Source organism: Homo sapiens, chromosome 8, assembly GCF_000001405.40.
Source record: "Homo sapiens chromosome 8, GRCh38.p14 Primary Assembly".
NCBI lineage: Eukaryota > Metazoa > Chordata > Mammalia > Primates > Hominidae > Homo > Homo sapiens.
The window spans coordinates 10,093,570-10,108,039 of NC_000008.11; the positions used below are offsets into that span (position 1 = coordinate 10,093,570).

Below are 14,470 nucleotides of genomic sequence, written 5' to 3' on the forward strand. Positions count from 1 at the left end.
TAGAAAAAAGAGTACATTTATCCCATTTTAAATATTTTAGAAATGCTTAAGGATATTTAAAAAATTAAACTATGTTACATTTATTTTAAAATACATTTATACTATTTGTAAAATATTCACTTCTGCAGTTACCTTTATACTTACTCCTATATTTCTTCATTGATTTGATTTACTGTCTAGTGTCTTTTCATTTCAGCTTGGTGGAAAAGTTCCTTTATTTCTTGTAGAGCAGGTCTGCTAGTAATGAACTCTGTTTTTATTTGGAATGTCTTAATGTCTCCTTCATTTTCAAAGAATAGTTTTGCTGACATAGAATTCTTGGTTGACAGTTATTTTCCTTTCAGCTCTTTGACTATGTTATCCCACTGCTTTCTGGTCTCCATGGTTTTCAATGAGAAATCGGCTGTTAATCTTACTGAGGATTCCTTGCACGTGATGAGTCGCTTCTCCAATGCTGCTTTCAAGATTCTCTTTAGTCTTTGGCTATTAACAGGTTATTGGTTTTGAATTACAAATTCACTGTTAGTCTGCCCACGTTTCATCATCCCTATTTGAAGGGACAGCATGGGACACTTTTGTCAGTGCTTTAATTCAACACTTGTGATATCTCTGTAGCATTTTATTGATCTATCAACTTTATGGTTCAGTAATATGTGGTTTTGTCTTTCACTGTTATATTACTTAATAGAATTTCAGATTGATATTTATGTGATCCGTTCCCATAACTTATTTACTTAATAGATTTGTTGGACAGCTGTATATGGAAGGCTGTATGCAAGACTTTGAGTTTTCTTAGATAAATGACACATGATCCTAATTGTGAAGATGACACATTTGATTGGCGGAGCACACAAACTTAACTAATTACTATGCAATTAGGATGAAGGTATCTATGTGCATAAACGTAGTAGTTTGGAAGCAAAGAATAGGAAGTCACTGATTTTCATAAGTGGTAAATGAGCAAACTGAGGAGATTAGATAGATTAGCAATTTGAGACCTTGAGTTATCTAAATTAGAACGTGGCAGAATCAAGGACTAGAAGTCACTTTTCTGGGTTCTTTCTATGAAACGATGATTCTAGAATGTGGCTCTTTTCTATGTTCAAGCATCATAGGTAAAAATGATTTCTTAAACCAGGTAAGTGTGTGAAGCACAGACTGGCTATTTTGCTTCAAAAGGTGTTTATGTTAAAAATAAAAGCAAACAGTACTTATTTATGCTTATTATATTGTATTAACATGAATTAAGTAAACAAGTGACTATGCTGGAACTTGAGGTGTCAAAATATGAAAAGATACTTGCTGTTATTAAATTGACCTTAGATGTTTTATTTTCCTTTTTATTGTTATTTGTTTTATCAAAAGAACTCTTCTCCCCTGTACATCTGTAGTAAAATTTTGAATAGGTACAGTTTGTATTAGAGCCTCCTTAAAAATAAAGTTGCAGATCAATCAAAACTATATTCATTCTCCATAGGATAAAGCATGACATTTCTGGGCATACGGTTTTAATTTTAATCTGCATGCCTCCGTTTCTATTCTCCCATGAGTCTTTGCGGCAGGACAAGGAAAAGCAAGTCTTATAAAAAGAAATACAGTATGTGGTGCTTATTAAAGTTACATACATCTCTTCTCACAGGAGAAATTTGATTTATTGCAGGTTGTGCATATGTCGCATATGGACATTTCTAGGGAACAGATTCCTTATTGCTGAGCAGTGAATGGCTTCTAGTACTCCATTATTGCTCCGGGAACATGTTAGTAATAATTATGAAAGGTAGGATACCATGAAATCTGTAAGGTGATTTGGCAGAAGTCGATGCTGTTGGTGCCAGGATTTGGGTACCGTACCACGGTTTCCTGTTTTCAAATGTATTAATTGATCCGCAAAGGACATCTTTTGGAGACAAGAATTCAGACAGACTGGCACAGCCTGGACCTCCGCCAAGACTGCTCGGAAGGTTGCCATACTGGGAGCAAAAGAGTGAGAGAGAGAAAGAGGGAGAGAGAGAGGCAGAGGGAGAGCTGAGGAAAGAAAAAAAGGCAAGACTTGGCACAGCTCAGTCAAATCAGCTTCTTTTGTCTGCTTTCTCGGCTTGAGCTTCAGGAAAGAAAACCGTCCTGGGGTACAGAAAAACTCAGAACTTTTTGGTTTTCAAACTTAGAAGGCTTTTTAAGTCTCTTGGGCTATTTGAAAGTGTTGGTACATACAATGACGTTTAGTCACCAGTATTAAGGGAAATAAAAGCCTTTTTCAAAACGAAGCTTCCATAGTGTCCATGCATTTGGGAAATACTATATTTGATTTTTTGCATGTATGATTATACCATGAGAGACAGGATTAATATAGAAGATGGCAAGGCAAATTTCTAATTAGAGGGAATATTAATTTTCTACAAAATAAAGTTTGTTCATCAATACAAACCTGCTTTCAAATCAAATCAGAAAGACATCCTTCGGAATGTGTTCAGAACGTAAGTTTTTAGATTTTATTTTATTTTATTTTTAGACATTTATAGACATTAACTTTTCAAGGAGCCTTTCTAAGATTTTATGCAGCCCAGCCAGGAAGTCAGAGTAAAAGTTGTTTTATCCATGTGTTTAAGAAAACGTTTTCTTAAAGCAACAGCTTTTATTTCTGCTGCTTCATGCTGTCCTAAACTACATCCCCCAGCAATTAGTGACAACACTGAAGACCAGAAAGGCAAGCTGAAGACACCAGACTTCGCTTGAAGGGCAAACAAGAAATGTGAGCTTGGTCATTATTTTTTTGTGTGTCTTTGCTCTGAACCATTTTTGGGAGGTGGGTGGGGAGGTGTCTATGTCTAAGAGATGTATGCGATTAGTGAATTCTCATTGTGAGAAGGAAATGATGAAAGGTGATTTTTATGATGTTGGCAGAAATGGCTGGGAATGGTAGAGAATAGAAATTTAAATCTTTTGGAGAAGAAGTGGTGAGCTGTGTTTGCAATACTTGGAGAAAAATTTCTTATTTTTGGTTGATTAGATTTTATAATTAAACGATTACTGTAGCCTGGCTCTCTCAAAATGTTTTAAGTAGAAGGAAAATTTAGAAAGTTTACCGATTTTCTTTTTAATACTACCTGGTGTTTTACTTAGATATATACTTTATATCTAATTTCTGAACAATGAATCTTTCCTATTAGGCCTGATTATGATTGGATTGTGATAGTTCTGTTCTTAAAAATCAGCATTATTGTAGGAGAGGTTAACTGTAAGGCATGTGTTACTGTGGATCACCCTGATTGTAAGTATTCTGTTTTTAAAGACAGTTTGACTTGTAGGATTAAGTTATGACTTCCTATAATCATGTATTTTCTTTTTATTTTATATGCCGAAAGAATACAGGAAAATTGTATCTATTCACATAAGTACTCATCATTTTGGGCAGTATAAAAGACTGCCCCTGGATCTGTGCTTTTGTTTGGAGTATGTAATCATTGATTTCTTAATCCTTCGACAATAAAAACCTGTCTATAGCTTTCCATTATTGCGCGCCTTAAATGATTAATTGTTTCACATGTTTTTTATAAAATTATAGTGACACATCAGCAATCCTGAAAATGGCATTTAATATATAAATATGATTGAAAAATATATGAAATCTAACAGAGGTGTTTGAACAGTTAAGCTTAAGTATGTTCTTCAACTTTTTAATTAATCAACATTTTGATTTTCTGTAAAATGAAATCACTTAACATTTATGTGTGTTGCCAAAATGACAACCTTTGTTTAATAAGCTCCTTTATACACTACGTCGCTGATACTCCTAAAATGGACGCCAAGACATGAAAGACATGCTGATAGGCACTCGGAAGGAAATGTTTGCCTGACTGCAGTCTTCCTTTTTGAATTGATTACAGGATCATTCATGCTTATACTAAAAAACAACAATATATGAAACAAAAAGAAAGTTCAGCAAACAAGTTTAAATTGAGCTTCATTTTAATACTGACCGTCTTATTGCCGATTTATATTTACTTCCATTTACTTCTTAAACATTTAACATAACTTCTTGCCATTTAGGTTTGCTAAATATATAACTTATTTAATTTTTAAGTCCATTTTTTCTTGAAGTTAAAATAATTTTTGCTAGCTGATTTCTTAACTTCTTTGCAGCGAACTCAGAACAAACTTATATCCAAACTATTTCATGTCCAATTATTTTCCAGCAGTATGATCAAAAGTAGGTGAATTAAAAAACAAATATGTCAGAATATACCTTAAGAAATATTAAATTTTTCGATACTGGTAAAACTACATTTTACAGTGTATATTAAACTTAAAATTTGATAAATACTAGCTATTATAGTCACTGAAGTTTCTTACCAATAGAAATTCTCTCTGGCCTACACATTACATAGCTTAAAATGAAAGAAAATCTCCCATAAAGATGTTCCTTGTAAAACGGGTATAATAGACACGTCTTTGTGCAAGCTTTTTTTAAAAAAAAGTGTGATTAAGAAGTTGCGTTGATTACATTTTTTTAAAAAGACATTTAGTTGTAACATAATGCATGCTTCTTTATTTTTAGACCTTTTGTACTACAAACACATTGACATTTAGGTTATTAACTATTTCCATATTAGTATTTCAAATCTTATTTTAAAGTATATAAATACTATTGGTTTGATTGTAAATGAACCCTATCTCACCTCATAATTATGGTCGTTTGAATTGTATAATATTTTGAAGTAAAATTATTGAGGCAGAAATGCGTTAATATTTAACTGCTACTTGATACGTATTATTAAATTCCATTTTGATGTATGTACCTGAACATACAAGCACATTATTCTACAAATTAATGCGAACTTCTCAGGAAGCGTTAGTCCAGTATTTTATAATTACTCGCTCATTTATTCATTTATTCAACAAATGTTTATTGAGCACTCACTTAAATATGCTAATATTTTATTGATAAAGTTATTTTGGGTAACGGGGATGGAAGAGGGAATAGATTTAAAATAAAATTTAAACGCCTAGATAGAAAAAGGCAGTACTATAATGAGATTAATTTCAACAAAGTATGTTCACTTTTCTTGCACAATACACATATTGTAGAGTGTGATTATAAAAAATCAGGAGATTAGTTGTATTACACGTAGCTGTAAGAATCTTGTTTTATGACTATTTTGGTTGTTACATTTTATTGGCCAGAAAACTTGAGTTGTTCAAGTCTTCTGACAGACATGTAAAATAAGCAATTCAAATCAGGGAGGAAGAAACTGAGATTGAGCCACTGCTCACATGCTAGATCTTACATATGTCAAAGCAGGTGTAATTGAACCTTCGAAGACGTGGCTGCAACGTAAACAACAGTGGCCTGTTTATGTGGGATTTTTTTCTTTCCTTTGTTTTCTGTTGTGAGACAAAGGAGGAAGATAAGGCCCCTCCCACATCCTGAGGCCAGCATGGCCCTTTGAAAGAAGGTTTGCTAGGGGGTGTGGTGTATTTTAAATGGACCTATCAGTTCACTTTCTATATTCTAGTGGTTCGTGTGTGTGTATGTTTGTGAGTGAGAGAGAGAGAGAGTGCATTTAACTCAGTGGCCTAAGTTTATTCCATGCAGTTGTTCTCTGATACAAAAAGAAGGCATAGGTTCATCTTTGAAGAGGAGATAAAAGTCACGTGATCTGAGGAGATGTACTTGTAGGCTGCTTTGGTGGCCCAGGCGTGAGGCAGAGCTGGTGGCCCATGGAATGGAGATGAGGAGTGTCTCAGCCGTGGGTATACACTGCTGAGGTCATTCAGCAGATACTCCCAGAGGACTTGCTCTGTGCCAGGCAAAAGATATAATTGCTGCCCATAGGAATTCCTAGTGTAGTTGGGTAGAGGAGAGGATAGGAATAATTGATGAATGTAGGTACCTTTTCAGGTTACCAAATACCTTCGCCTGTTATTCCATGTAATCCAAGCAGCCATGCTGGGCGCAGGGACTGGTACACAATGGCCACTTAATAAGTATTCATGGAAGAAATAAACTGAGTGGCGAACCAGAGTATTAGCTTGTTGAGTCTTATTTGACTAAGAGAGTGTTTTTTCCTTCATGGATAGAAAAACAAAAAGTACTGTGCTTTCTTTATCTTGTTTCTCTGTTGCTGGCTATGGGTTTAGAGGGGTGCAGCAGAGGGCCACATTATTTGTGACCACATTAGGCTCTCTTGCGGTGGCCATTGGAGATGATATGAAACAAGGACTTGCCTGGTGTGGGGTGGCCCTGGACACCGGCTTTCTCTCTGGCCAGCCCTCTGTTGTCTTGCATTCCCTCTGTCCTCATTTTCCCAAAGCATCCCATATTGTACTTTAGGACTTGGTGGTGTGGCCTGAGCATGCAGCAGGCCAGTGGAGTGCCCAGTGAGTTTAAAGTGTTTCTTTTGAGGGCAGGACAAAGGCAGAGGGGATGGAGACAGAGAAGGTGGTGAGGGCAGTTGTGCAGAGTTGAGGGCGCTGCCCAGCAAGCAGCTTCAGTCCTGTTGTAGCTGCAGCACTAGGGGCCTTTGAGGGAGCAAGGGTGAATGTGGGATCCTGGGTTAGACTGCAATATCAGCAACCGCAGGCGTTGAGAGGGCATAAGGTGTTATTGAGGGGCTGCATGGGGGGATGTAAATGGGTTGCTGAGGCCAGTTCATGTTGAACATCGTCTTTCTGGGTCTTTGTCCTGGGAGGTTTTGAGGCCCAGGAGAGGGAGAGGCAGAGTCAGGAGCATTGTGTATAGTTCTGTGTCCAAGGCGGTGAGGGGCTGGAATTTAGCCTCAGCTTTGCTGCCCAAGCCCTGTGCCTTGATCTGCTGCAGGAAGGTACCAAGTCCCCATTGTGCTTGTGGAGGTCCTGGGGTGCATACAGGCTTGGAACTGGAATAGCAGGTATTGGGAGAAGGTCAAAGGTCTGTGGCCAGGGAGGGCAGTGTTCCAGTATCTGACCATGGAGTCTAGGGGGCTAGGGGATGTGATCAGAAGTGTTCTAGAGAACATGGTGAAACAGGGGAGGATGAGTAAGTAGAAATTTAGATCAAGTGAAAGAAAAGGTTTTGAGAGTACTGGAGTTAGGAGTTTATTCTGAAACTCATCAGATTCTGAATAATTGTACCACCTCTGCAAAGCTCGACTTAAAAGTTTGGCCGTGAGTTGTGCTCAGGTTATTTTATTTCTCCAAAAGCAAGCAGAAAGTGAAAAATGTTACCTGTGTGTGTTCTGTATTGCACGTTATCAGAGGAGATGAACATTTTCTTCTCTTACAGTTAAGAATCTCTCAGTCTTACACAATTAGAATACCCCTTATGTGTGGATCTGGAGGTTTTGTGCAAAATACTGAAGAATTAGTCCCTCTGGAGTGATGCCATTCTTTTATCCTTGTCTATCAATGTCATTTATATCTCTTTTCCTATTAGCCCTTCTAAGTTATTGTACCTCATCTGAAAAGATCAAATTGTTCTCAAAGACCCAGGAGTGTTTCACCTTAGCTGTATTCATGGGAAATCTGCCTTTGAAACAAATAGTCCTTTACCGTCTTGGGTTAGAGATAATGTTCCTCAGCATCTCCCCAAACTGAGTTTGAATTTTGACTCAATTTTTTGGTTGTGGGACTTTGGCCAAGTTATGTAAACCTAATTTCTTCATCTGCAGAACAGGGATCATGGTATTTCCCTCACACGATTTTGGGAGGAGAAATAAGGAAATACATGCAGAGCTCTTAGCATAGTGTCTGGTATGTAGTAAATACTTAATAAATGGTAGATATTATTTATGTTTTACAAAATTATTTTTTTAATTTTTAGAAATTGTGATAAAATATGCATAACATATTTTACCGTCTTAACCATTTTTAAGTGGTATCAGGTACATTCACATTGTTATGCTGCCATTACCGTCATCAAGCCACAGAAGTCTTTTCATCTTGCAAAACCAAAATTCTGTACCCATAAACAATAACTTTCTATTCTTCCCTTCCCCAAACCCCGCAACAGAATCGTGGCAACCTTGATTCTGTTTTCTGTCTCTATGAATTTGACTACTTCAGGTACCTCATATAAGTGGAATCATACAGTGTTTGTCCTTTTGTGACTGGCTTCTTTCACTTAGCATAATGTCCTCAGGATTCATACATGTTTTAGCATGTGTCAGAATTTCCTTCTTTTATGAGGCTGAATAATACTCTATTGTATGGACAGACCACATTTTCTTTCTCCATTCATCTGCCAGTGGAAACTTGGGTTGCTTCTACCTTTTGGCTGTTGTGAATAATGGTGCTATGAACATGAGTGCACAGATATCTCTTTGAGCTCCTGTTTCCAGTTCTTTTGAGTATATCCCCAAAAGTGGAATTCTGGGTTGACAATTTCTTTTTTTTCAGCGCAACTTCAGTTGTACTCCCTTCTTTTGCCTTTGTGTTTTCTGATGAGAAATCTGCTGTCATTTGAATTGTTTTGCCCTTCAGCTAAGATGTCCTTTTTCTCTCACTACTTTCAAAATCTTGCTGTGTCCTTAGTTTTCAAGGAATGTGTTATGTTGTGCCTTTTTGTGGATTTCTTTGGGTGTATCCTGTTTGGGGCTCATTCACCTTCTTGAATATGTAGGTTTATGTCTTTTGCTAAATTGGGAAAGTTGTCAGGCATTATTTCTTTGAATACTTCCCCAGGTGTGCCCTCTTTCTCCTTTCCTTCCAAGACTTGGAGGATGTGAATATTAAAACTTTGTTATAGTTCTACCAGTGCTTGATACTGATTATTTTTTAAGTCTATTTTCTCTTTACTATTCAGATTGCATAATTTCTATTGTTCTTACCTTCAGATTCACCTATTCTTTTCTCTGTCATCTTCATTCTGCTGTTTAGCTCACTGGGTGAGTTTTAATTTCGGTTATTTTATCTGCTATGTCTTTACTGAGACTTTCTGTTTTTAAAATTTGTTTCATGCCCATTTTTAGTTGTTTGTGGAAACATGTTTATAATGGCTACTTTCAAATCCTTGTCAGATAATTCCAACATCTGTGCCATCTCAATGTTGGCATCTCTTGACTGTGTTTTCTCATTTAAATTGAGGTTTTCCTGGTTCTTGGTATGATAAATGATTTTGATTATATCCAGGCATGTTGGGTACTATGCTATGAGACTGGATTTTATTTAAGCCTTCTGTGTTAACAAACCTTCTCTGACACTGTGCTAGCAGGGGAAAGGGGGGCACTCCCTCATTTCTGTGAGGTGGGGGAGTAGGAGGGTACCTTATTATTGGTAGGTGAGGGTGAAATTCAGGCTACCCATAGTTGATACTGTTATTTTTATTGTTAGTTTTGTACTGGGTGCAGTAACCTGGACAGTGTCTCAGCTCTGTATTCCTTAAATTTAGCTTATGTTGTTGGTGCTACTTGTGTTTGATAACTTGTTTAATGATAGTTACATTCTCAAATTAGGGACTGAGCCTTCTTTAATCACTAGCTACCCAGAGATTAGTATGTGTTTACCACTAGCACATTGAATAAAAGAATATAAGAGATGACATTGTAGTTTCTACTTTATTAATTTAGAAAAATTATTTTTAAAAGGAGAGAATACGCTACCTGGGTAAGATTTCCATTTTTTTGGTTATTAACATGCGAGGTTTTATCAGACTTTTGCAACTTATTTTTAGAAGAGGTCAGTATATTAAAAATAGTCAGAAGAAACAGATTTGACTGAAGGCTTTAAAAATGTCAGTGATAAAGTATTCTGTTTCATTTGTGAATTCAAACCTGTAGCTTCAGGACAGATCTTAAAGATGATGCATGTAACTTTGGAATAATATATTGTCAGGGTTCTTACGGGTCATCTGTGCTGTAGCATTGACAGTGAGATCCCAGTTTTGCATCACTTACTAACTGGATAATCTTGGGAAAATCTCCAAAACTCTAAAGGTTGACTTTTCCTATAAGTGAAGTGGCTGTCATAATACCAATATCAAAGGGTTGTTCAGAATATTAAGTGAGATAATGTGCCTGAAAGCAATTTAGCTGATAGGTATCATAAACATGGGAGACAATTATCTAGTTAGTTTCTCCAGACACATGAGGATGATGGATAAAGATAATGTACCTAATTCTGTATGCTTTTCAGCTGTTTATTCCAATAGACTGTTTTATATATATATATATTTAAAATGCTTTAAAATTGTTTAAATATCGAAGACCTTCAAATAGATAGCAAAGTATTAAATAAAGTAGAATGAATACCCATATACCCATTATTCAGAAGTGACAAATGCCATATTTATTTTCCTCAGATGTTAAAAAAAAAAATTAAGGATATAACTAAAGCCTTACTCTCTCTCACGTCTGAAATTGGTGTAGAACACTTTCATGCACATTTTTCTGGAATTACAGCGTATACATGTAGCCATAAACAATATATTTTACATGTTTAAAAACTTTGATAAAATATTTTAAACTGTTGCTATCCTTTTGCAAATGAAATTAGATATTTCTGAGCGTTATCTCTATTGCTAATGTGGGTATGAGGCTGTAGAGTGTCTCATTTTAGCGTAGCCATTCTTCTGTGGATGGGCGTTTAGGGATCTGCTTTGTGCTACCCATGCTGTCATGACCCTCCTACACATCTGGGTGATCTCTAGAGGAGGACTTAGAAATGGAGCCCAGTTTCTGAATATTTCAGCTTTACTCAGTAATGCCACGCCATTCTCCCAAGTATTTGTAATGTGAACCCAAAAGTATCTGAGACAGGTCTCAATCAATTTAGAAAGTTTATTTTGCCAAGGTTAAGGATGCATCTGTGACACAGCCTCAGGAGGTCCTGACATGTGCCCAGGGTGATGGGGGTACAGCTTGGTTTTATACCTTTTAGGGAGACGTAAAACACATCATTCAATACCTGTAAGATGTACACTGGTTTGATCTGGAAGGGCAGGACAACTTGAATCAGGGGCTTCTAGGTCATAGGTAGATATAAAAATTTTGATTGGCGACTGGTTGAAAGAATTATCCTCAATAAGAAGGAATGGCTGGGTTATGCTAAGGGGTTGTGGAGACCAAGGTTTTATCATGCAGTTGAAGCCTCCTGGTAGCAGGTTTCAGAGAGAATAGATTGTAAATGTTTCTTATCAGACTTAAGGTCTGTGTTGATATTAATGCTGGCCTGCTTTTCCTGAATTCCAAAAGGGAGACGGATATAATGAGGCATGTCCAACCCCCCTTCACATCATAGCCTGAACTGGGTTTTCAGGTTGACTTTGGAATGCCCTTGGCCAAGAGGAGAGGTCCATTCAGATGGTTGAGAGGGGCTTAGAATTTTATTTTTGGTTTCCAGTACCCATTTATATTCCTGTGCTAGAGTATCAATGTTCTTGTCTCACTGTATCTTCACCAACAGTTGGTAGTACCAGACTTTAAAATTCTTGTCAATCTCATGGGCAAGGAATATTTTGCTGTTACGTTTATTGGTATAGCTGATTACTTAGTGAGATTGAACATCTTTTAATATTGGTAATTTAGATTTCCTTTTCTGTGCATTCTGTATTCATATGCTTTGCACAGTATTCTTTTGAGTTGTTTTATTCTTACTAATTTGTATCATATTAACTAATCCTTTGTTATGCTCATCGAAGATACCTTCTCAATCTTTTTTTTTCTCATTTTCCTTATGGCAACTTTGGAAATTAACTATGGAATATGTTTGAAAAATTGGAATGTTTTCATTTTTCATTTTCAGAAGTGATTTTAGTAATAATACATGCTTACAATCCATGCTTTCCGATGAGGCAGAGAGGGCTAATGGGACTAATTTCTTAGAATGCATCAGAATTTTATCTCCTTAATTAACATCTAGAGGAAAAAGTTTCTCATTTTCCATGTAAACTTTTGGTCAACTTGAAATGTCAGGCAGATTCTTAGTCCCCAGGCATCCATCATTGAATTAAAGAGTATTGTGGAGTTTTACTCTATTATTTGCAGGGACTGCTATAGCACACCGATAATGTAGGCACATTCCCATTGCATCTGCAATGTTACCAAATAGGAGTTCTAGGGCCCTTAGAAAGAATGTTCTGTTGATCTGATTATAGTGCTTTCTATACAGTGAATAATCTCGGTGCAATAAGCACTTTCTCCTTCCCCTAACCAGTAGTCTTGCTAACAAAATAACTTAATTGAGAAATGCACACTGTTGGGGCAAGTGGATTGAGTTGTGGCTGAGGCTCCTTGTGTATCTTTTGTTGTGCAATCAAGTAGCACTTATTCACCGACTTTGCTCATGCTGTCCCGTCTAAACAAAACCCACCTAATCTTCCAAATCACTTTGCAAAACAAAAGAACACACAGAAGATATAGAAACCAGGAGGACCAGGCGGCTGTGGAGTATTTTAGGCAGCACTCCCTCTTTCCCTGCTAGTAACCATGTATATGAAATTGCTTTAGTAATTATACATCTGTTTTAAAATTGGAATCGGAAAGGATACTCTTTCCACAATCCTATAGGAACCCTCCTTGGTTGTTCAAACATTTGGCACCACTGCGTGTCTGCTGATGGTTTGCCACAGTCATAGGTGAGGTTCTGGGCAGATACTAACAGCTGAGGGAAGAGTGGGCTTGCAAACCCAAACGTGGAAGTCAGACCTTGAGGTATGGTTCTCACAGACTTGACTTTCTTAAGGACAGTGGCCATACGCTTTGCTCAGTCAATTCCAGTTGGCCTTATTGTACTCGTTTGCCATTTACTGCAGGGAGTGAGCCTCCCTTCAGCATATAGGAACCAGTGAAATGTCCTCTCATTGGCTAGCTTTGATATTTCCTTCTTTCTCCACTTACTGAATTCTTACCTGGAATCAGCATTTGGCTCCAGTCACCGTCTCTGCACCATTCCTCTACTGTTTAAAAGTTTTAAGGAAAACTTCAATAAAGAGTATATGAAAATAATGACTGTTGTTTAATTACAAACCCTGTTTTCTCTAGGTTATCTAAGTCAGTGCAACTCTGTGAGAGAGACTGGCAGACACACACACCACACACGTTTCAGGTGAGGAAATAGAGGCCCAGAGAAGTGAAGTGCCTGGGCTTGTTAGTAGCAATGCTAGAGTTTAAATCAAGTCCTCTGCTTCCAGATTTGTTGTGCTTCTTGTGATTTCACATTTGTTCACTCTGTCATGGGACCACCAGGAGAATATAGTAAGTTGGTGCTTTTATGGTAGCCTCTCCATACACCCTTGGGAATGTGTCCTTAGGTCATTCCTTCTGTCTGCTACCCACCCACCTACCTACCCACTCACACACCCACCCACCTAACTACCCACGCACCTACCCACCTACCCCTTCCCTCCACCCGCCTACCCCTCTACCCACCTACCCATTCACCTACCCCATCTATCCACCTTCCCACCCACCTACGCAACCATCTACCCCATCCGTCCATCCATGCAGCTGTCAGCCCATTATTCATTTAGTCTCTGAGTCCCTCAGTGCTGAGTGATGAGGCCACATCATGGATAGAACACAGATAACCGCTGCCATCACCCAGCTGATGATACAGTGGTGAAGGACTACAGATCAGTAAATGTGGCCAAGCGCAGTGACTGTTAGGAGAGGAGAAAGGATCCTGCTTTTCCTCACCTTCTTGTCCCTCTGCAACTCAGAGGGAGAATCAAAATTCACATTTTTTAGAGAACATGGATCTTTCAGAATATGAGAGTTTCATGAGTGTTTTTTTTTTTAATTTAACACTTAAGTATAGCACTCTGAAAAATAAACACTCTAGAGTTTTAGTGTCTTAGAGGTCATTTAGTTTGCCTCCTTGTAACCAAACCGATGAAAATCTCCTTTTCTGACCTCCTGAGAAATAGATGCTAGAATCTCTGGGCAGCAGTCCTTGTGGTACTCGTACTCAGTGCCTAGCAAAGAGGTCCATAATGAGATATTCTGTGCGTCTCTGACTCAGAACATTCCTGTTTCATCTTCCACCTGGATTCCTTCTAATGCTTTTCAATAACAGATCAGTGTAGTTGAGTTTTGTTTAGCTATTTCTGTATGTAAGCATTTTTAAAAAAGGAAAAAGAAGCAAAAGAAAACCACAAAAACCCAACATGCTGTTTAAATAAAGAAAAATGAGTTTTACTTCCAAGAGAGCTTTCGTCATTTTCTTAATGCTTATTCTCCTTCTGAGAGCTTGTTATGGAACAGAGTGTGACAGTAGTTTACCGTGGTGAGCCTGTCTTGTCCGGGCCAGGGGATGAATTAGAGCACTGAAAAAGGCCAGAGGAGTGGGCAGAACTGTACCTAAATTATCCCCGGATATTGCTAAGTGATTCTACTTTTTAAAGACCTCCAGAGAGAGCATCCCTAATCTCCTTTAGTTTGCCTTTACAGTGTTTAATGACCTTTGCTGTCAGGAAATTCTTCCTCATATTTAACCCAGCTGTCCCTTCCCACCAATCACTCCCATTTCTTTTGTTGTCCTTGGTGGTGACAGAATATAG

The 14,470-nt window shown here is 37.6% G+C and overlaps 1 protein-coding gene across 9 annotated transcripts in view; it reads left to right on the forward strand.

The window, feature by feature from the left end:
* The window catches only part of MSRA (methionine sulfoxide reductase A), a 374,600-nt gene that overhangs the window by 39,278 nt on the left and 320,852 nt on the right, over nucleotides 1–14,470 (forward strand). For 2 of the 9 annotated variants that reach the window (NM_001135671.3, XM_017013451.3), the window contains exon 1: nucleotides 2,082–2,474. The exons of 5 other annotated variants lie outside the window; for them this stretch is intronic. In NM_001135671.3, the coding sequence (NP_001129143.1) occupies nucleotides 2,462–2,474 (13 nt within the window). In that variant the 5' untranslated portion in view covers nucleotides 2,082–2,461. Of the gene's footprint in view, nucleotides 1–2,081; nucleotides 2,475–2,674; nucleotides 2,955–14,470 lie in introns of those variants that run through there. 2 more of the 9 variants (NM_001199729.3, XM_017013450.3) reach the window with 2 other exon arrangements.